The following is a 21,590-nucleotide window of genomic DNA, read 5'->3' on the forward strand; positions in this document are numbered from 1 at the left end:
CTCCTGACTTTGTGATCTGCCTGCCTCGGCCTCCCAAAGTGCTGGGATTACAGGCATGAGCCACTGCGCCAGCCTGGTTTTTGAATTTTTTTACAGTTAAAAGGAGCAGCTCTGCTAACATCTTTTTCATTTCTTTATCACTTATTTTGGATTTTGGGGGTACATTTTACTTCTGGGGGTATATTTTAGGGGTATATTTTATATTTTATATAAATAGCTGCATAGCAGGGAATGCATTCTTGGACAGGAGGACTTATAAATATACTTAAGCCATTTTTATTCAGTTTTTAATTTTTTAATTATTGAGTTTTAAATTTATATAACATGAAATAATTGAAGATGGGCATTGTCAACAATGTAATTTGCATCATAATGAATTTTCCAAATTCTACCATTATAAGGGTCCAATAGGCTAATTCTTTGCATTTGTCCAATACATTAATTGGAATAATTTATTTGGTAACTACATGTGACTGGTACTAGGATGATGTTAGAAATGAGCTTTGTCTGAGTTCATGTTTTCCAGAGTTTTAAAAAGTTAAAATTAGTCTACCAGTAATGTGTACAGTTCAGATGTTGATGTATATAAACAAATTTAGGTAATACATATTTAGGGCAAATACAGTTGTAATGTTCATATTTTTTCCAAATTCCACTTTTTAGCCTGTTTGTGCATGGAAACGATCTGTAAAATGGAATATATTAAGGCTCCATTTAATGAAATTTATATTATGTGAGGCTTTTAAAAACTGTGACAGTTGTATAGTTTATAGATCGATGTTTTCTTTTACCCCATAGGTTTGTGTGCCTCTGATTCAAAGTACAATAAGCATTGATTCTAATGCCTCACCTCAGGGCAATTCGTGTCATGTAGCTACATCTCCAGGTTTAAATCCTATGACTCCTGTACACAAAGGTAAGAGGTAGATATTCTTGTTTTTTGCTTTTTTAATCAGGCTTTGTTGACCTAGAAGCATAGTTTTGAAGTAGGAAAAAAAAAGGCTTTGAGAGGTTTTGCTCAGTGTTTTTCGTTTGAAATGAAGCACTTCATAATTTTTAGGTTCATTACCAAAAAATCCATTATCATGTTTTTCTGTTTTTTGTTTTTTTTTTTTAATATTACTGATTACTGTTGTAAGCGCATTGTTGTGGTTAGAAGAGACGGATGTTTTTTCAGTACATTATGTGAGGTGCCTTGCAAAAAAAGCCTCAGAGCAGCTAACATGAAGCTGTTGATTTTAGAACCAGAATCTTAGCGCTATTAAAAACAACACATCGGCCAGGTGAGGTGGCTCACGCCTGTAATCCTAGCACTTTGGGAGGCCGAGCCCAGCAGATCACTTGAGGTCAGGCATTTGAGACCAGCCTGGCCAACACGGTGAAACCCAGTCTCTACTGAAAATAAAAAAATTAGCCGGGCGTGGTCGTGGGCCCCTGTAATAACCAGCTACCTGGGAGGCTGTGGCAGGAGAATTGCTTGAATCCTGGGAGGCGGAGGTTGCAGTGAGCCGAGATCTCGCCACTGCACTCCAGCCTGGGCGACAGAGTGAGACTCAGTCTCAAAAAAAACAAAATAAAACAAAAACAACACTTCAGCCAGGTGCAGTGGCAGGCACCTATAATCTCAGCATTTAGGGGGCTGAGGTGGGAGGATCACTTGAAGCCAGGAGTTGGATACCACCTGTGCTACATAGTGAGACCCTGTCTCTACAAAAAATTTAAAAATTAACTGAGCACAGTGGTATCCATCCATCTATAGTTACAGCTACTTGGAATGCTGATGGGAGAAGTGCTTGAGCCCAGGAGTTTGAGGTTGTAGTGAACTATGATTGTACCACTGCACTGCAGCCTGGGCAGTACAATGAGACTCTGTCTCAAAAAAAAAAAAAAAAAAAATCTCAGCAGTTATAAAGTGTCTTCTTTATGTATGTCATTGAAAGACATATGATATACATGTGTGTCATATGTATTATTTTGTTTGCCATCTGAGTCTTCAAAATTTGTTACAGAATACCTGCATATTAATATTTCAAGGTATGGATTAATGCCTGAGACATTTAAACTCTGTTTTTAAAAGTTTCATTGAAATGAAATGTATGCATTTGGGTAGCTAATATAAAATGAGCTTGTATGACTTAACTCTTTTTTTTTTTTTCTTAAAGGTGCTTCCTCCCCGTACGGAGCCCCGGGAACTCCCCGAATGAACCTGAGTTCGAATTTAGGTGGAATGGCCACAATCCCATCCATTCAACTTTTGGGACTTGAAATGTTGCTTCATTTCTTGTTGGGTCCAGAAGCCTTGAGTTTTGCTAAGCAAAATAAACTTGTGCTGAGCTTAGGTATTTAAAGGTTTTAAGAATAATTTTAATTACTAAAACAGTCTAGGACTTAATGCATTGGGGTGAGGAGAGGTGTTATTTTGTCGCAGCCAAAATATTTTACAGTTGTGTATGAAATATGAATCTTTTTTTTATAGAAAACACACCTACTTAATAGACATTTTAAAGTTTTATAGTGAGAAATGTATTTCATAAATCTGTTGTTTTACATAATTATCTTTTATTCTTCCCTTTCAGAGCCATTGGAACATCCGTTAATCAGCAGCCCTTCCTTTTTTTCCAAACATGCAAATACACTTATCACTGCTGTTCATGATAGCTTTGTTGCAGTTGGAAAAGATGCCCCCGGTAAGAGAATTTGATTTATTATTTGCTCAAATGTGTGTTTAAAAAGAAGAAAAAATAGGCCAGTCACAGTACCTCACACCTGTAATCCCAGCACTTTGGGAGGCCGAGGTGAGTGGATCACTTGAGCTCAGGAGTTCGAGACCAGCCTGGGCAACATGACAAAACCCTGTCTCTACAAAGCATACAAAAACTAGGTGGGCATGTTGGCAGATACCTGTAGTCCCAGCTACTCGGGAGGCGGAGGCATGAGAATTGCTTGAGCCCAGGAGGTGGAAGTTGCAGTGAGCCAAGATTGTGCCACTGCACTGCAGCCTGGGTGATAGAGCAAGACTCTATTAAAAAATAAAAAATATGAAGATAAAATAACAAATATTTATATAGTGCCACCTACTGGCCAGATTGTGCATTGAGAACTTTACATTTATTCATTTAATTTTCGCAGTAACATACCATGTTAGTTCATTTTACAAATGAGAAAATGGGTTATACAGGAAGTACATAAGTTATGCAGAGTCACTTACGAGTGGTAGTACCGTGTCAAGCTCTATGGCTCTAGCATCTGTGCCTAAACTCCTGTGTTACATGGCCTATCAAATAATGAGGAAAGGAAATTTCAAAAATTGTTTGCTCTTTAACTGGTTGGAAAAAGAATCACAATGAATCACATAAATTTTTTCTATTGGTTGTTAGATATCCTTCTGAATCTCCGTGAACAATCTCTGCCCCAAAAGTAGTGGGCATTCAATTCAGAAAAGAAAGATAATTTAAAAAAAGATAAAACAATTACCCTTAGTTACACAATTCATTGTTAACATGTTATAGTTGTTTTAAGGAACACATTTATGGCTGGACATGGTAGCGCATGCCTGTAATCCTGGCAGTTTGGGAGAGGCTAAGGTGGGAGGTTCACTTGAGGCAGATGTTTGTGACCAGCCTAGGAAATGTAGTGAGAGTGCTATCTTTACAAAAAAAAATAATTAGATGGGTGTAGTGGTGTGTACCTATAGTCCTAGCTACTTGGGAGGCTGATGTGGGAAGACTGCTTGAGCCCAGGTTGTTGAGGTGACAATGAGCTATGATTGTGCCACTGTACTCCAGCCTGGACAGAGCAAGACCCTGTCTGAAAAAAATAAACCATATTTAGTTTCTACAAACAAAAACGAAGTGATAGTGTTTTATAAACTTACTACAGGGTTGAGTATCATGAGGAAAATTAAATTAAGTATTGTTCAATTTATTTGTTTAATGTAAGGAAGTAAAGGGAGAGTGTTAGTCATAGTACGTAGTCATATGTACTTCATTTAAAATACTCAAGTTTATTTTGTTTGACAGATGTGGTTGTCAGTGCTATCTGGAAGGAGCTAATTAGCTTGGTGAAGTCAGTTACTGAATCAGGTAAGCACTATTACACTGATCAAATGTTGTTTTTTGAAACAGGTGGTGATCAGATGATTTTTATAGCATCCGGTGAATTGTTTGACTATATAAAATTTATTTTAAAAGTATTTCTTGCACTACCGTAGCTTCCAGTTTTTAATTTGTAGTTAATGTTTGAAGAACACTGGGGTTAGGTGTGCTGACCCACCACATGGTCCAAAATCTACATATAACTTCAGACTCCCCCAGAACTTAACTACTGATAACTTACTATCGATTGGAAGCCTTGCTGATAACATAAATAGCTGATGAGCACATATTTATACGTTATGTGCATTATATGCTGTGTTCATTAACAATATTAGTAAATTAGAGAAAAGAATGTTAGGAAAATCATAAGAGAAAACATAATCATTAAGTGGAAACGGGTTATATTCTTGTCTTTATGTTGAGTACACTAAGGAGGGAAGAGGAGGGGTGGAACTTGCTGTTTCCGGGATGGAAGAAAGTCTGAATAGGAGTGGACTCATGCCGTCCAAACCCGTGTCGTTCAAGGGTCAACTGTACTTAGTATTGTTGATTTAGAAAAAATAAATTTTTACAGCTCTCTGTATAGTCATCTCTAAAATTACATGCTTAGAAATACACCCTTCTAGCCGGGCGCGGTGGCTCATGCCTGTAATTCCAGCACTTTGGGAGGCCGAGGCGGGCGGATCACCTGAGGTCAGGAGTTTGAGACCCGTCTGACCAACATGGAGAAACCCTGCCTCTACTAAAAATACGAAATTAGCCAGACATGGTGGTGCATGCCTGTAATCAATCCCCAGCTACTCAGGAGGCTGAGGCAGGAGAATTGCTTGAACCTGGGAGGCGGAGGTTGCAGTGAGCTGAGATGGCGCCATTGCACTCCAGCCTGGGCAATAAGAGTGAAACTCCATCAAAAAAAAAAAAAAAAAGTAAATACACCATTCTCAGCCAGGCATGGTGGCTGACGTCTGTAATCCCAACACTTTGGGAAGCTGAGATGGGTGGATCACCTGAGGTCAGGAGTTTGATACCAGCCTAGCAAACCCGTCTCTACTAAAAATATGAAAATCAGCCAGGCATGGTGGTGCACACCTGTAATCCCAGCTACTCAGGAAGCTGAGGCAGGAGAATCGCTTGAACCCAGGAAGTGGTGGTTGCAGTGAGCCAAGGTTGTGCCCCTGTACCCCAGCTTGGGTGACAGAGCAAGACCCTGTCTCAAAAAAAAAAAAAAAAAAAAAAAGAACTATACCCTTCTTTTTGCTTTTTGATAGGTAACAAAAAAGAGAAACCAGGTTCTGAAGTTTTGACTCTCTTATTAAAGTCTTTGGAAAGCATAGTAAAGTCTGAAGTATTTCCTGTATCAAAAACGCTGGTAAGTATAATACCCGTATGTTGGACTTTAAAAACCATTTTCTGAAGTTAAATTTTATATAGAAGATATTTGCACAAATCTAGTTTGGGAAGACTTTTTTATATCAAGCATTCATCAGCAGTTTAGTCCTATTGCAATAAGTGCCATTCTATTAACTGTAGAGTCATTTGAAACCTTTTTAATAGTGACTATAACAACAGCCACAAAAGTCTTCAACGTGGTAAGAAAAAAGTATCCGCCATACAGAGAAAAACTAGGGTAAAGGACATGAAACTTGAACTGAAGAAACTCAGATGTCCTTTAATTTTATGACAAGATTGCTGAAAACTACTAATAGTTGGTACTTTGTTTTCAATTAACTGTTTTTAACCAAGATAATGACTTTGGTATTAAAACCCCTTTTTTTTTTAAACCCGTGTAGTACAGGAAGAAAAGTGAATTGGATATGATTTTGAGGATATGGGCATCTCAAAATAAGCTCCAGTGGAACAAACAATACCCTTAAATTCTGATTTTGTTTCCTTTATGTATTTTGATAGTTACTTGTTCTGTAGCAGTATAGCATAGTGGTTAATAGCAAGGGCTCTGGAGCATACTAGGTTGAATACCAGCCTAACTATTCATTAGCTGAGTAAATTTGTGCAGTTTATCTATTCCCTTGGCTTTGCCTAACCCCATATGTAAAGAGGGAATGTAGCAGTAGTTAAAGACTAAGTGAATTGATACATGGAAAGTACTATGGGCCAGGAACAAACTAATACTGTCTATTATTATTACTAATCTGTTTCAGGTGACAGTGTGTGAAAATGTATTTTCACTGACATAACTCTTCTATGACATTTAAGTTATGTAGTGCATGTTCATACCAGTATATTACCACTGGGCATGGTGGCTCACATCTGTAATCCCAGCACTTTGGGAGGGCAAGGTGGGCAAATTGCAAAAATTAGCCAGGCATGCTGACATGCCTCTAGTCCCAGCTTTTATGGAAGCAGAGGTGGGAGAATCACTTGAGCCCATGAGGTTGAGGCTGCAGTGAGCCAAGATCGTGCCACTGCAATCCAGCCTGGACAACAATGAGACCCTGTCTCAAAAAAGAAAAAAAAGACAGTATGGTAGTATTTTTGGAGAGCAATTTGGTAGGCTCAGTCAGTTTGATTTAGCAATCTTAGACCCAACTATTAGCAGTCCTTTGAATATTTGCTTTGGGTACCAGTATAATTAATTGCAGAATTTCTATTAGTAGTATAAAAAAACATAGAAATAGCCCCAAGGTCTCTTAATAGAAAAATGGTTGAATAAATAATGGACATTCATATAGCAGTATTTTTATATATTGATGCAAAAATTCCGTAACAAGGTAAAATGAAGGTTAGTTGCAGAGTTTAATATCATTAGTGATTTACAGTGTAATGGCTTTAATGGTTTAAAGGAATGTGTGTATAACTGGCTGCCCAAGAAGTTGTGTGTTTTTCTGTGTACTTACATATACAGAAATTTAGAAGGTCTAGGAAAATAGACTCTGAACTGAAAATATTATCGTTGGAGATTAAAGACTTTACCTGCTTTTTATATTTCTGTGTTTGAACTTCTAAAACGGATGCAGATATATTCATGTTAGTGAATGAATGTATTTGATCTTTTTTAACTAATGAGATTATATTTACGTTAATGAATGAACATTACTTGTAATTGTTAGAGATATAGTTAACACTCAGATTTTTATTAGATAATATTTTTACGGCTAATTTACTGTAAAACCTTTTATCTCTCATAGGTCCTCATGGAAATTACAATTAAAGGACTTCCTCAGAAAGTATTAGGTTCACCAGCATATCAGGTTGCTAATATGGATATTCTTAATGCAAGTATCTTAAATGTAATATGATGAAGATTGGCCAAAAACATTTATACTTCCCTTTTTTATTTTATTTTATTTTATTTTATTTTATTTTATTTATTTTTGAGACGGAGTTTTGCTCTTGTTGCCCAGGCTGGAGAGCAGTGGCACGATCTCGGCTCACTGCAACCTCCGCCTCCCAGGTTCAAGCTATTCTCCTGCCTCAACCTCCCGAGTAGCTGGGATTACAGGCATGTGCCACCACACCCGGCTAATTTTGTATTTTTATAGAGACGGGGTTTCTCCATGTTGGTCAGGCTGGTCTTGAACTCCTAACCTCGGGTGATCCCTCCGCCTTGCTCTTCCAAATCCTGGGATTACAGGTGTGAGCCACTGTGCCCAGCATATTTCCCTTTTTTTTAAAAAAAAAAAAAAAAAGAAAGATGACCTTATGTAAAATTCTGAGAGTATTGGATTTGAAGTATATTGACCAAATTAAAGGAAAAACTGATAGTTAATATAAAGAATTAAATATGCTGCTATGTGAATGAAAAAACTATTTTCCTGGATTAAATAAATGGCTCCAAAAGGAAAGTTTCCTAGTTGTTTATATACGATAATACTGTTGGTTACTGCCATAAATATTGGAAGCTAATGTAAAATGCACTTAGTATCTCTAGGATATAGGCATTGGGATTCCAGTAAGTTTTAAATCTATGTTCTTTTTATATCTGGAATCTCATAATTCCTTGATTTTCTGTGTAGAGGAAACAGCTATGATTAGACTATAAAGAGCTTGATTTTTTTTTTTTTTTTTTTTTTTTGAGACAGAGTCAGGCTGTTGCGCAGTCTGGAGTGCAGTGGCGTGATCTCGGCTCACTGCAACCTAATTCTCCCGGTCTCATGCCATTCTCCTGCCTCAGTCTCCCGAGTAGCTGGGACTACAGGCGCGTGCCACCCTGCCCGGCTAGTTTTTTTGTATTTTTATTTAGTAGAGATGGGGTTTCACTGTGTTAGCCAGGATGGTCTCGATCTCCTGACCTCGTGATCCACCCGCCTCGGCCTCCCAAAGTGCTGGCATTACAGGAGTGAGCCACTGCGCCCGGCCAAGAGCTTGATTTTTGTGTGCAGTATATGGAAATAATTTTACTAACATGGTTGTCATACCCTAAGTAATGCCAAAAGTTAAATTTGTCATGCTAAAACAATTTTATTTCTTAAATAACCAATTATAAAAAACAAATGTTCTATTCTTTGTAACTGAGAAGATTGACTTCATTTTCTCCTTCAGGGAACTCCAGCTTTGTTCTTAATTCAATTAATTTTCAACAATTTCTTGGAATGTGGTGTATCAGATGAAAGGTAAGTTTGTACTTTAACTTGAAACTTTGTCTTGGAAAGGTTATGTAATGAATGAGATTATTTATGTACTATTTCATAAGTTTAAGTTTTTTTAAAAAAAATTCGTTAACTTTTTGTCAGTTATTTTAGAATTTTGTTAACATTAAATTAATATATTCCTGCCAAAAAGTTGATGCATTTTTTATAATTTTTTGTTCAGGTTCTTTCTCAGTTTGGAATCACTTGTAGGCTGTGTTCTTTCTGGTCCAACTTCACCACTAGCTTTCAGTGACTCAGTTTTAAATGTTATTAATCAAAATGCAAAGCAGTTGGAAAATAAGGAGCATCTCTGGAAAATGTGGAGTGTTATAGTCACCCCATTAACTGAATTGATTAATCAGGTATGAAATAAATCTGCTACGTATTTTGGATAATAGACCTTTTTTTTTTGTTAGTGCAGTTGGGGAAATGAATAGAAGTTTGAATTTGAATAGAAGATGGTAAATATTTTTTCTGGTGGAATTGGTAAACGTTGTACTTTTGATTGATTTTATTGCATTTCTCCCTCACTGGTAAAGAAACTATAACTTAATGGGGACTAATCAGCTTCATTTTCTTCAGTAGTGATTATAAACCTAGAAGGCTCACATAGATGTAAATTCTTGTATCTTGGATTCTTTCAGTAGTTTTATTAACAGGGAATAACAGCGGTTATCTTGACTAGGCTATATATTCCCATAGTTAAGCCACGTTGGTGATTACCTCAAAGCCATATAGCATTTCCTTAAGTCAGGAATCTATTGAGAGTTGAATAATCTGTGTATTTAAATACTTAAATCCTCAATGTTTACCTATTTAACAAAAGTGGGTATAGTGGCAGGCTGTGGGGCACAAGTTCTGTTTATGATTTGTCAGCCTCTTTGTCAGTCTTTAAATGGGAATATGCATTCTCTGGGCTAATAGTGCTGTAACTCAAAAATGAAATAACTCGAAGGAATTTTGTTGTTTTTGTTGTTGTTGAGTTGGAATCTCACTCTGTCACCCAGGCTAGAGTACAGTGGCACGATCTTGGCTCACTGCAACCTCTGCCTCCCAGGTTGAAGCGATTCTCCTGTTTCAGCCTCCCAAATGGCTGGGACTACAGGTGCACGCCACCAAGCCCAGTTAATTTTTGTATTTTTAGTCAAGATGGGGTTTCACTGTATTGGTCAGGCGGATCTCAAACTCTTGACCTTAGCCTCAGCCTCCCAAAGTGCTGGGATTACAGGCGTGAGCCACTGTGCTCAGCTTTTTACATTATAGTTAACGTAGCCCTTGTTTTGGCTACTCAAGCTAGCACACTATTCTTCTGGAAGAAAAGTCATTTACATTCTTAAATAGCTCCCCACTGTTAGAATGATCCAGAGGCCCTTTTTATTGTATGAGTTTTTGCTGGAATGCTGTGTATGTATAGTAGAAGACTTTGGAGTTGGCCCTGGGATTCATTTTTAGAACTTAAACATAGTGCATAATTTCCCCAGATTGCAATTAACAAATTACAGCCAACTGGTGACTTAAAACTACAGGGATTTATTCTCTCACCGTTCTGGAGACCAGCTATCCAAAATCAAGGAGTTGGTAGGATTGGTTTCTCCTGGAGCTCTGAGACAGAATCTGTTCATGCCTCTCAGCTTCTGGTGGTTGCTGGCAATCCTTGACCTTCCTTGGGTTGTAGCTGCATCACTTGACTATGCCTCCATCTTCACATGGTATTGTTGTCTGTGCCTATCCAAATTTTCCTCTTACAGAAAAGACTGTTCATTGGATTGGGGCTGACCCTAATCCAGTAGGACCTCATCTGAACATATGCAAAGACTTTATTTCCAAATAAGACTACATGCGTAGGTTCGAGGGGTTAAGAGTTAAACTTATTTTGAATCTCATCATTGGGGAACACAGTTTTGCCCACTACTTATAAATAAGTTATGTTACTACTTAGGATTAGAATAAGATGGTAATTTGTCTAACTTCATTATTTTTCTTGTTTTAGACCAATGAAGTAAATCAAGGTGATGCCTTAGAACATAATTTTAGTGCCATCTATGGTGCATTGACTTTACCAGTAAACCACATTTTTTCAGAACAGAGATTTCCAGTGGTAAGGCATTGTCAAGTATTGATTTCCGAGGGATTTGTATTTTTCTGAAAATATTATTTCATCCTTTATAATCAGCTTCCACAATGATTTGTTTTTCTTTTTCTTTTTCTCTTTTTTTTTTGAGACAGTCTCACATTGTCGTCCAGGCTTGGAGTACAGTGGTGCAATCTCAGCTTACTGCAACCTCTGCCTTCTGGGTTCAAGCAGTTCTCCTGTCTCTGCCTCCCAAGTAGCTGGGATTACAGGACCATGCCACTGCGCCCAGCTAATTTTTGTATTTTTAGTAGAAATGGAGTTTCACCATATTGGTCAGTTTCACCTGACCTCAAGTGATCCACCTGCCTTGGCCTCCCAAAGTGCTGGGATTACAGGCGTGAGCCACTGTGCCCAGCCCACAATAATTTCTAAAATAAGACTTCTTTATGACTTTATTACTAGCTTAGGAGAATGATGAAGGGCGAGAGAAGTTCTTTTGGATCTTTGATAATTTTTGGTATCATGGCCTTATTTCCTCTCTTCAGTTAGACCTCTGGGATGTGGGGGAAAGGTTATTACCCTGTGTTAGTCTCTTTTTTATTTTGAGACAGTTTCACTCTTGTTGCCCAGGCTGGAGTGCAGTGGGGCAATCTTGGCTCACTGCAACCTCTACCTCCTGGGTTCAAGCAATTCTCCTACCTCAGCCTCCCGAGTAGCTGGGATTACAGGCATCCGCCACTTCGTCCGGCTGATTTTTTGTATTTTTAGTAGAGATGGGGTTTCGCCATGTTGACCTCGAACTCCTGACCTCAGGTGATCCACCAACCTCGGCCTCCCAGAGTGCTGGGGTTACAGGCGTGAGCCACTGCACCCGGCCGTTAGTGTCTTTTTTGACACACTAAATGTTGCAGTGTTTTTAAAAAATGTTAAAGATGTATTGATTCTATAAACTTTGATAGATAGGTATATATTAACAAAACTTCTTTTTTTGTTGTTATTGGTAGGCCACCATGAAGACTTTGCTTAGAACTTGGTCAGAATTATATAGAGCATTTGCTCGTTGTGCTGCTTTGGTGGCAACAGCAGAAGAGAACTTGTGCTGTGAGGAACTTTCTTCCAAGATAATGTCCAGTTTGGAAGATGAAGGCTTTTCTGTGAGTTTGTCCTGATGCTACCTTTTTTTGTTTGTTTTTAAAGGATTCTTTTCAAGTAAATGGAGATAATATTTGTGAACTGTCACCTATTACTGCCTCTATTTATATGTGATAAAGTTGATACTGCAAACAAGTATGCTTTGTGTAACAGTTTTGTGTCTTTGGGCTCTAAGATTCAGTTTTGGGATCATTAATAGTGAAGATCTTTTACTATACTGTGTTATCTCCTTGTGCTTGTGTCATTCTAGATTAACACTTCAAGGGCCTTGCTCTCCTGGACCTCACTTTCTCATACGTATCTGTTAGATCTTTAAATTCAATCCCTTTGAAAGTTTGTAGTCTTAGAAAATATAAGTCTCTTTTCTCTTTCTTTTTTTTTTTTTTTTGAGACGGAGTCTCGCTCTGTCGCCCAGGCTGGAGTGCAGTGGCGCGATCTCGGCTCACTGCAAGCTCCGCCTCCCGGGTTCACGCCATTCTCCTGCCTCAGCCTCCCGAGTAGCTGGGACCACAGGCGCCCGCCACCACGCCCGGCTAATTTTTTGTATTTTTAGTAGAGACGGGGTTTCACCGTGTTAGCCAGGATGGTCTCGATCTCCTGACCTCGTGATCCGCCCGCCTCGGCCTCCCAAAGTGCTGGGACCACAGGCGTGAGCCACCGCGCCCGGCCTCTTTCTTTCCCTCCTCATGGAAAGGACAGCTGTTGGGAACAGATTGATATGCGTCATTCCAGAATAGACCTCTTTCTGTTTACGCATGTCATTTGTATATTGATCCTTGCATATGCATTTGAATATATGGTATTCTTGCCAATGAAATCCTTATTGCATTTATTCCAAAGTAATTATGTAACTTTTCGTAAAACACTGTCTTGGCTCAGTTTCAAGTCAATCCATATAGCTCTATTATTTGTTTCAACTGCTGTCTAGTATTCTGTAGTATGGTTGTACCATTACTTGGAATTCTATTATTTATTTATTTATTATTTTTTGAGACAGAGTCTCACTCTGCTGCGCAGGCTTGAGTGCAGTGGCACGATCTCAGCTCACTGCAGCCTCCGCCTTCTGGGTTCAAGCGATTCTTCTGCCTCAGCTTCCCGAGTTGCTGGGACTACAGTTGCACACCATCATGCCCAGCTAATTTTGTATTTTTAGTAGAGATGGGGTTTCACCATGTTGGCCAGGCTGGTCTCGAATTCTTGACCTGAGGTGATCCACCTTGGCCTCCCAAAGTGCTAGGATTACAGGCGTGAGCCATTGCACCTGGCCTGGAATTCTGTTATTTTAAGGACATTTTGTTTTTTTCTATTATTTATTACTGTGTATGATCCTGGTAATGGCCTTCACACAGAAACCGTTGTTTTTCCATGCAGATTATTGAAATGATATTTGTTGTGCCTGTTTTCTCTATAGCTTATATCTAACACATATTTTAATGAGGAATAAAAGAAAGTAAAAATAACAGTTCTTTTTTTTTTTCTTGCCCCTGAGACAGAGTCTCACAGTGATTGTTGGACGACAACCCAGGCTGGAGTGCATTGGTGCAATATGGGCTCACTATGACCTCTGCCTCCCAGGTTCAAGTGATTCTCCTCCCTAGTAGCTGGGACTACAGGTGTGCACCACCATGCCTGGCTAATTTTTGTATTTTTAGTAGAGAGGGGGTTTCACCGTGTTGGCCAGGCTGGTCTTGAACTCCTGACCTCAGGTGATTAGCCCACCTCAGCCTTCCAAAGTGTTGGGATTACAGGTGTGAGCCGCCGCGCCCAGCCAAAAATGACAGTTCTTATTGTAAAAGATTACAAACAACAAAGCAAATTCCCCCTCACACGTCTTCTCCTCAGTAATAATCACTACCCATAGTTAGATGTTCATTGTTTTAGTGTTTTAAATGGATTTATATACATATCCTCTACTTGTTATTAGCACAATTCTAATTGTATTTGTCGGAGTGACTTTAAAAATGTAAATCAGATCTTGTCACTCTTGAAGTATTATAGTGTTTTGTTAGATTTGGAATAAAAATCTGAGCTCCTTACACTACCCATGAGGTTTCTGCTTCCTTTTCCAAAGGACTTACCTAATCGCGCTTGTTTATTTTTGTTGTATAGCATCTTATTTCCTTTTTAGTACTGTCTCGAAATTGTTTATTTCTGTACTTTATTATGTTATTTCACCCACACTCCATGAGGTTAGGGACATTGTCTGTCATGATGGTGATTATCTCTGGGATCTGTCTACTGAATAAACAATGTGCAGGTTTTTATAACTGATCGGAAGAAGGTTGACCCTCAGTTATCACCTTTAAAAAATGGTCTTAGTTAGGCTTTCTCCCTTTGTTCTTTTCCAGAAGAAACTTGGAGTCTGTCAAATTTCACAAAATACCCTGTTGAGATTTTGCTTGGCTTTGATAAGGGTGAATTCACAGATTAATTCGGAAAAGAATTTACGTCTTTCTAATCAAATTGTTCCTTCCAGGGATTTGTGTTTATTTAGGTCTTCTAAAGTTAACCTAACTTGATTATTGTTTTTAAGCTGTTTTTTAACATTATAAATGGGTCTGTTCTTCCCTCATACTTGCTTGTTGCTGAAGGACATAAAAGTTGTTGCTTACATACTTCCTTGTATTGAATCATGTGTTTTTGGGATACACTTCTTGGTTACAGTGCTATTCTTTTAAATTATCATAGGATTAATGTTTTTTTCTGCATGTATATCTTCATTAGTGATATTGGAGTTCTCATTGTTCAATTTTTGTATTATGGCAATAGTGACCTCTTAGAATGATTCAGAAAACTGTTCTTCACCAATTTATATAGTGTAAAAGGAATGCCATATCTACAGTTGTATTCTTTTTTTCTTTCTCTCTTTTTCTTTCTTTTCTTTCTTTCTTGATGAGGTCTTGCTGTGTTGCCCAAGCTGGAGTATAGTGGCTATTCACAGGCACCATGCACACTACAGCCTCCACCTCCTGGGTTCAAGCAGTCATCCTGCTTCAACCTCCCGAGTGGGTTGGACTACGTGATGCCAAGCCCACCAACCTTTTTGTTCTGAAGTCTTCTCTTTTCTTGGTTGGACTTGGTAATTAAAGGCTTATCTAAGTCTACCAAGGAAAACAACATGTAGTTTTATTTTATTGATCATTACTACACAGCTTTTTACTTTTCTTTGTCTTTAATACATTGAATGGTTTTGTTTTAAAGCTTTTTTCAAACATATGCATGTAAGACTTTGATTACTGCCATCAGTGATCATATAGACTACTTTGATGCCTTTTTTTTTTTTTTTGAGACCGAGTTTCACTCTTGTTGTCCAGGCTGGAGTGCAGTGGTGCGATCTCGGCTCACTGCAACCTCTGCCTCCGGGTTCAAGTGATTCTCCTGCCTTAGCCTCCCTAGTAGCTGGGATTAAAGGCGTGTGCCACCACGCCTGGCTAATTTTGTATTTTTAGTAGAGACGGGGTTTCTCCATGTTGGCCAGGCTGGTCTTGAACTCCTGACCTCAGGTGATTCTGCCTGCCTTGGCCTCCCAAAGTGCTGGGATTACAGGTGTGAGCCACCACACCCAGCCTTTGATGTCCCCCCCTTTTTTTTTTAATAGCACCAGGGAACTTGGAAGGGTGCTTTGTAATTTGAGAATTTTTTATGGATATGTGTTGCTATTTTATCATTAATTTTTTATTTTACTGTATTGTGATCAGAGAGGATCATCTAGGACTTCTAATTTTGGAATTCATCCTGTGTTATAACTGTGATAATGTAGTTTTATAATTGTTTATTTATAAGACACTTGGGATCAGGTATCTCCCTGATTATGAATTTGCTGTATATTAACATGTTTATTAAATACTTTGATGCCATATTGTTATACATTAGAGATTAATGACTACTGATGTTTTCATTGTAATGTGTTCCTTGTTACTGCCTTTTTCTTAAATTCTACTAGCTTGAAATTTATTACACCTTCTTGAAAATTTGTGTCAAATGTGTCTTTAAAAACACCATCCTGAGCAATAATTCTTTCTTTTTTTTTTTGACGGAGCCTCGCTCTGTCGCAGGCTGGCGTGCAATGGTGTGAACTCGGCTCACTGCAGCCTCCGCCTCCCGGGTTCAAGCAGTTCTCCTGCCCCAGCCTCCCGAGTAGCTGGGATTACAAGCATTCACCACCACGCCTGGCTAATTTTTGTGTTTTTAGTAGAGACGGGGTTTCACCATGTTGGCCAGGCTGGTCTCGAACTCCAGACCTCAGGTGATCCACCCACCTCAGCCTCCCAAAGTGCTGGGATTGCAGGCGTGAGCCACCAGTCCTGGCCAGCAACTTCTTTTTATGTTTTGTTTCCACTGGGTTTAGTGAAAACTTTTACTTCATAATTTTCAAGAGGAATTTGATAGAGAATCTGTGATCCTAGTATTTCCAATCTCAGTTTATTGGTTGATATGATGGCTTTTATGGGGATCTTAAAAGTGAATTATTTTTCTTAAATATTGAGGAAGAGAAAGTACAGTGTTTGACTCAGCAGTTAACTGAAAAAGATTTGTAATCATGTATGGTCATGCGCCTCATAACAATGTGTCAGTCAACAACAGACCGCAAATCTAGTGCTACATATCCTAAGCAGAACGTTATAATACGGTATTTTTACTGTGTCTTTTCGATGCTTAGATACACAAATACATACCATTTTGTTACAGTTGCCTAGAGTATTCAGTATAGTAACTACACACCTATACAGGTGCCTAGGCTATGTGTTTGTAGCTTAGGAACAACAGACTATATAGGTGTGTAGTAGGCTGTATCATCTAGGTTTGTGTGGGTACACTGTGTTCTCACAAGATGAAATTGCCTGATGACCCATTTTTCACAGTGGATCTCTGTTAAGCCGTGGGTGGCTGCACTTAATGTACTGTAAGCTGTGGCATGTGTGTTACATAGGATATATGGGAGTAACAGTCTTATATTTTTTCATGTTGCTTACTTTTGTTGAATACTGTCCCAGTACTTGAATGTTTCTAACAGTGGTACTTTCTTCCCTAGAATTTGTTGTTCGTGGATAGAATTATTTATATTATTACTGTAATGGTTGATTGCATTGACTTCTCACCATATAATATTAAATATCAGCCCAAAGTTAAATGTAAGTATGTATTTTTTAACCTTTGTTTGTCCAGTATTTCATAAGCAGTACTGAACTTTGCCAGGGGAAGTCCTAATACCTTTGCCACCTCATTTTACTAACTTTTGATCTTGTTTAACCATGTTAGTTACTATGCTAGGAGCTTTCATACATGTTCTCTCTCTTTTTTCTTTTTAATTTTCATATGCTCTGTATCATTCTCTTATCTCTATCACACAAAATTTCTTTACTCCTTTTTACAACGCAGAAAGATAAATACTATTCTAATTAGAGATTGCCTAATAGTACAAATGGTTTTACTCATTCCATCTGGTATGAAGGATTACCTGGACAAGAAACTTAGACATAACTTAAAATGTTTTTATTTGCAAGCCTGATTTAAAATAGTCATTGAATTGACATTATAATTTAAAAGAAAACAATGGGATCAGTTAATTGGTTATTTTTTTCCAGAAATGTTACAAAGTTTAACTCATCGTTTACCTGAAACATGGTAATTAAATGATTAAAATTGGACAATTGGGATCATAACAAGTTGCGTGATTTTTAAAACCATATGCCTTGGTTAGTTTTAAGTTATTTTGTAGCAAATAGTTTTTAAAATCTGTTAATTGATTCATTGAAGTCAGATATATCCACCTATGTTTATATGTTCTTACCATATAGGTAGTGATAATCTGTCATTAATGAAAAATGTTAGTTGATGTTGAGATATATTATTCTTGTTTAAAGATTAGGGACATAAAATTATCTAACAATAAGATTTGCCATTGATGAGTTTTCTAAAACATTCTTAGAATCTTTTTTGGTTTTTGAATTTTTACTAAGTAGCAATATGGAGTAACATGTTAAGCTCCTGAAGTATATTATAGGTCAGAGCATCCCGGCCTGAGTGCCGTGGAAATATAGGTTATAGATGTTCTTGACATACTGATCTTAGCTCTCCTCTTGGTCTGACCAGGACCTAATATGATTACCTCAGTGTGTCAGAAAAATAGGCTTATCTCTGAAAATCATAAGTTTACCAAGATTATATAACAGATGATGTCAGAAATTATAAGCCACTGAAGTTTCATAGAGCGAAGATGATCAGTCTCATTTTGACATAATTTTACCTATGTTGGTACTTCTGAAATTAGATTTAACCGAATATCCAATTCAGGAACCCACAGTTACAAATGTCTTTTCCACTCCGTGTCCATGCAAAACAGAGCCAGAGTTCTCTTGCTGTAAAATTTGGGTAATGGGGAGATTTTTAAAAGAAGTTGAGAAGAGGAAACAATGTTAAGACTAACCGAAAGGAAATTGTTATTATCAGGATCACCTTGGGATTTTTTGGTGACTTACATTGTGATGATTTCAAATTTAGAGAAATACTGCAAGAGTTTATGTGGAAACTTCGTATTCCTTTACTCAGGTTTCTCAATTAATGGTTGATTGCATTTATCTTATCTGCTCCCCCCTCCCCCCAGAATATACATTTTATTCTTTTTCCCTTCTGAACCATTTTAAGGTATAGTTTTAGACAAGTTGACAACCTGGAACAGTTCCTCAGTCTTGTCTTTTATGTCTTTCAAAAAACAACTTTAGGCTGGGTGCAGTGGCTCACGCCTGTAATACCAGCACTTTGAGAGGCCGAGGTGGGTGGATCACCTGAGGTCAGGAGTGCTAGACCAGCCTGGCCAACAGGGCTACAACCTGTCTCTACTAAAAATACAAAAATTAGCAAGCCATGGTGGTGCGCGCCTGTAGTCCCAGCTACTTGGGAATCTGAGGCAGGAGAATCTCCTGAACCCAGGAGGCAGAGGTTGCAGTGAGCTGAGATCATGCCACTGCACTCCACCAGCCTGGGCAACAGAGCTAGACTCTGTCTCAAAAAAAAAAAAAAAAAAAAAAAGGCAATTTTACTTTCTTAGAGTCTCTCAATCTGGGATTACCATATTGCTTTAAGATTAGATTCAGGGTCCATTCATTACTGGAGTACCACAGAAATAATGCTGTAGTTCTTTTTCAATTCATTATTTTCCCATTACTGGTGATGTTAACACTTCCTGTTTGTTTGAGGATGGCATCTGCCAGGTTTTCCACTGTAAGGTTAATTACTAAATACTTACTGTGGCACAATTATTGCTTGTTTCTCTAGATACACTTTCATTTACCATCTAATATCACATGGATTATGCTATTCATTCCTTTTCTGTATTTTTCTCTACTGTCTCTAATAGTGAGAAACCTGGTTTTCATTACCCTCAATGTATTTACAACTTGATCATTCACTTGTATGTAACCAGTCTCCTGACATAATGGCTGTCACCTCACCTCAGCATTCTGTCAGGGAATTTCTGGATATAGTTTTTCAGTGTACATAAATGTCTGAAAAATTGATTCCAAGGAGAAAGATCAACTTCCTTTTAGTAGCAACACTTGTTTTTCATGTTACCATATGAGATTAATTTTAATTAAGCATTCGTTTTCTGTTAAATTTGAGATCTCATTCCTTAAAAGAATGGATTGATTGAGAGAAACAAGTAATTTTGGAATGGGTAAATTTTTTGGGCAAGGGCTATGTGGGTTTATTCTTCTAGGTAGATGTTTACAGAGGGATTATCTAAGGGTACAAAAAATCAGACAGTACTTTTAGGACAAATCTTTTTCTTTATATCTAGGAAATAGTAGACTTACTGCATTCTTTCTCAGCTTTGTATCTCTGACTTGTTCAATGTTATTTGTAGGGATCAATGTACTATAGATGAGCAAAAAAATGGTCCGTCATTCTTAGTGGAAATTTTTTGTTTTTAAAACTAACTTTCAAAATTTAAATTTGGAACCTATCTTATGTAATTTGGTACTTTCTTGCATATTAGTTGTTGAAATTTTATGAAATGTAAAATTAAAGTTTGAGATGCATTTTATAATTCCTAAGAAAAAATGAACTTGTTTTTCTGGAATTCATATTCATGATCCGCCAAGTAGTTTTCGTCTCCCATTCTCATTTGTAAAGATAATGTTCTAGTGATACTTATCCATTAATGGTACATTATGTTATGATTTGTTTGGGGTGTCAGTCAGCAAACGGACATGTATTTGATGTATCTAACATTTAAATGTGAGCTATAAATTGTAAAAGTGGACAGTGACTCCTATTTTCAATTTATTTGAGTTTTTAATTAATTCAGTTTTTGTTTTTAGCACCACAGAGACCTTCAGATTGGTCCAAAAAGAAGAATGAGCCCCTAGGGAAATTGACTTCTTTATTTAAACTTATTGTGAAAGTGATCTATTCTTTCCACACACTGAGCTTCAAGGAAGCACATTCTGATACCCTCTTCACTATTGGCAACTCAATCACCGGCATTATTTCCAGTGTACTTGGGCATATTTCTTTGCCTTCTATGATCCGAAAAATATTTGCAACTTTAACAAGACCTCTGGCATTATTTTATGAAAACTCAAAGTAAGTATTTTGGACTAAGTAGCTTTGAATTAAATGTATACAATTTAAATATAGGTAGCAACTTTTATTTTTTAATCAGCTGTGTTGTAGATGGTAGTCTTGACAATTTTGTGGAGAGGATAATAAACTACACTTTTGTTGAAAAGATAGTTAAAATAGTATAGAAATATGAGAGAGAAATTGGAAGTCTATTTTGCCTGTTACTTCCCTTTCCCTTTGCTTTTCAATGCTTACCTTTTCAGAATTGTTTATGCAAACAAGCATACCTATTAAATGCATGATAGATAGGAAAGCTTACTTGGCATGCTGTTTTGCAATTAATTATATGGTATGCACTTAATACAGTTGGCTGTTTGTATCCATGGGTTCTGCATTCATGGATTCAACCAACCCTGGATCGAAACTATTTAGAAAAATTAATAAAATGAATGCAAATAAATACAATATGACAATTATTTACATTGTATTAGATATTATAAGGAATCTAGAGATGATTTAAAACATATGGGAGGATGTGTGTAGGTTACATGCAAATACAATTTGTTTTATATTAGAGTGTTGAGCATCCATGGATTTTGGTATCTTGGCAGGAGGGTGGTCCTGGAATTAGCCGCCACCATGCCCAGCTAATACCCCATGGATACTGAGGGATTTCTGTCCTTGTACCATATACATGAGAATCTCATTTTTAAAAATGTCTACATGTGATTCTGTTAAACTTTTTACCCAATTTCTGATTGGTGGACATACATGTTTTTCTAGTGTTCTCCCTCATAACAATTGAACATTATTTATACGTAAATCATTGCCCACATTTGCCACTATTTCTGGGTATACACATTTATGTGTCTGAATTGGTCTCCAAAAAATTGAATTAATTTTGCATCACCCTTTATTTGAATCGAAGCAAGCAGTGCTTTAAAACCTGAAAGAAAAAAAAAGCCTCAGTAACAAACTCGTACAAGCATTTTGAAAGGATTCATGAATATTCTTTATAGCAAGCTTGTGTGGTTCATTCAGAAGACAGTTTATCTTTCATAAATTAACAAAGTTTTAGGAACAGATTTTATAAAGTACGATACAACCTCCAAATCC

The 21,590-nt window shown here is 37.5% G+C and overlaps 1 protein-coding gene across 48 annotated transcripts in view; it reads left to right on the forward strand.

Moving 5' to 3' along the window:
* Positions 1-21,590, forward strand: part of RIF1 (replication timing regulatory factor 1) — a 124,534-nt gene that overhangs the window by 24,763 nt on the left and 78,181 nt on the right. For 38 of the 48 annotated variants that reach the window (XR_007077544.1, XR_007077534.1, XR_007077537.1 and 35 more), the window contains 12 exons: positions 799-916; positions 2,163-2,339; positions 2,577-2,687; positions 4,020-4,082; positions 5,363-5,463; positions 7,241-7,327; positions 8,595-8,665; positions 8,865-9,045; positions 10,674-10,781; positions 11,762-11,911; positions 16,942-17,041; positions 20,231-20,495. Coding sequence is in view for 29 of the 48 variants with exons in the window: in NM_001177665.2 (NP_001171136.1) it covers positions 799-916; positions 2,163-2,339; positions 2,577-2,687; positions 4,020-4,082; positions 5,363-5,463; positions 7,241-7,327; positions 8,595-8,665; positions 8,865-9,045; positions 10,674-10,781; positions 11,762-11,911; positions 16,942-17,041; positions 20,231-20,495 (1,532 nt within the window). In the remaining 19 variants the exon portion in view is untranslated. The remainder of the gene's footprint in view (positions 1-798; positions 917-2,162; positions 2,340-2,576; positions 2,688-4,019; positions 4,083-5,362; positions 5,464-7,240; positions 7,328-8,594; positions 8,666-8,864; positions 9,046-10,673; positions 10,782-11,761; positions 11,912-16,941; positions 17,042-20,230; positions 20,496-21,590) is intronic. The other 10 variants (XR_007077547.1, XM_017004422.2, XM_047444870.1 and 7 more) reach the window with 1 other exon arrangement.

The sequence above is a fragment of the Homo sapiens genome, chromosome 2, assembly GCF_000001405.40.
Source record: "Homo sapiens chromosome 2, GRCh38.p14 Primary Assembly".
Taxonomy (NCBI): domain Eukaryota; kingdom Metazoa; phylum Chordata; class Mammalia; order Primates; family Hominidae; genus Homo; species Homo sapiens.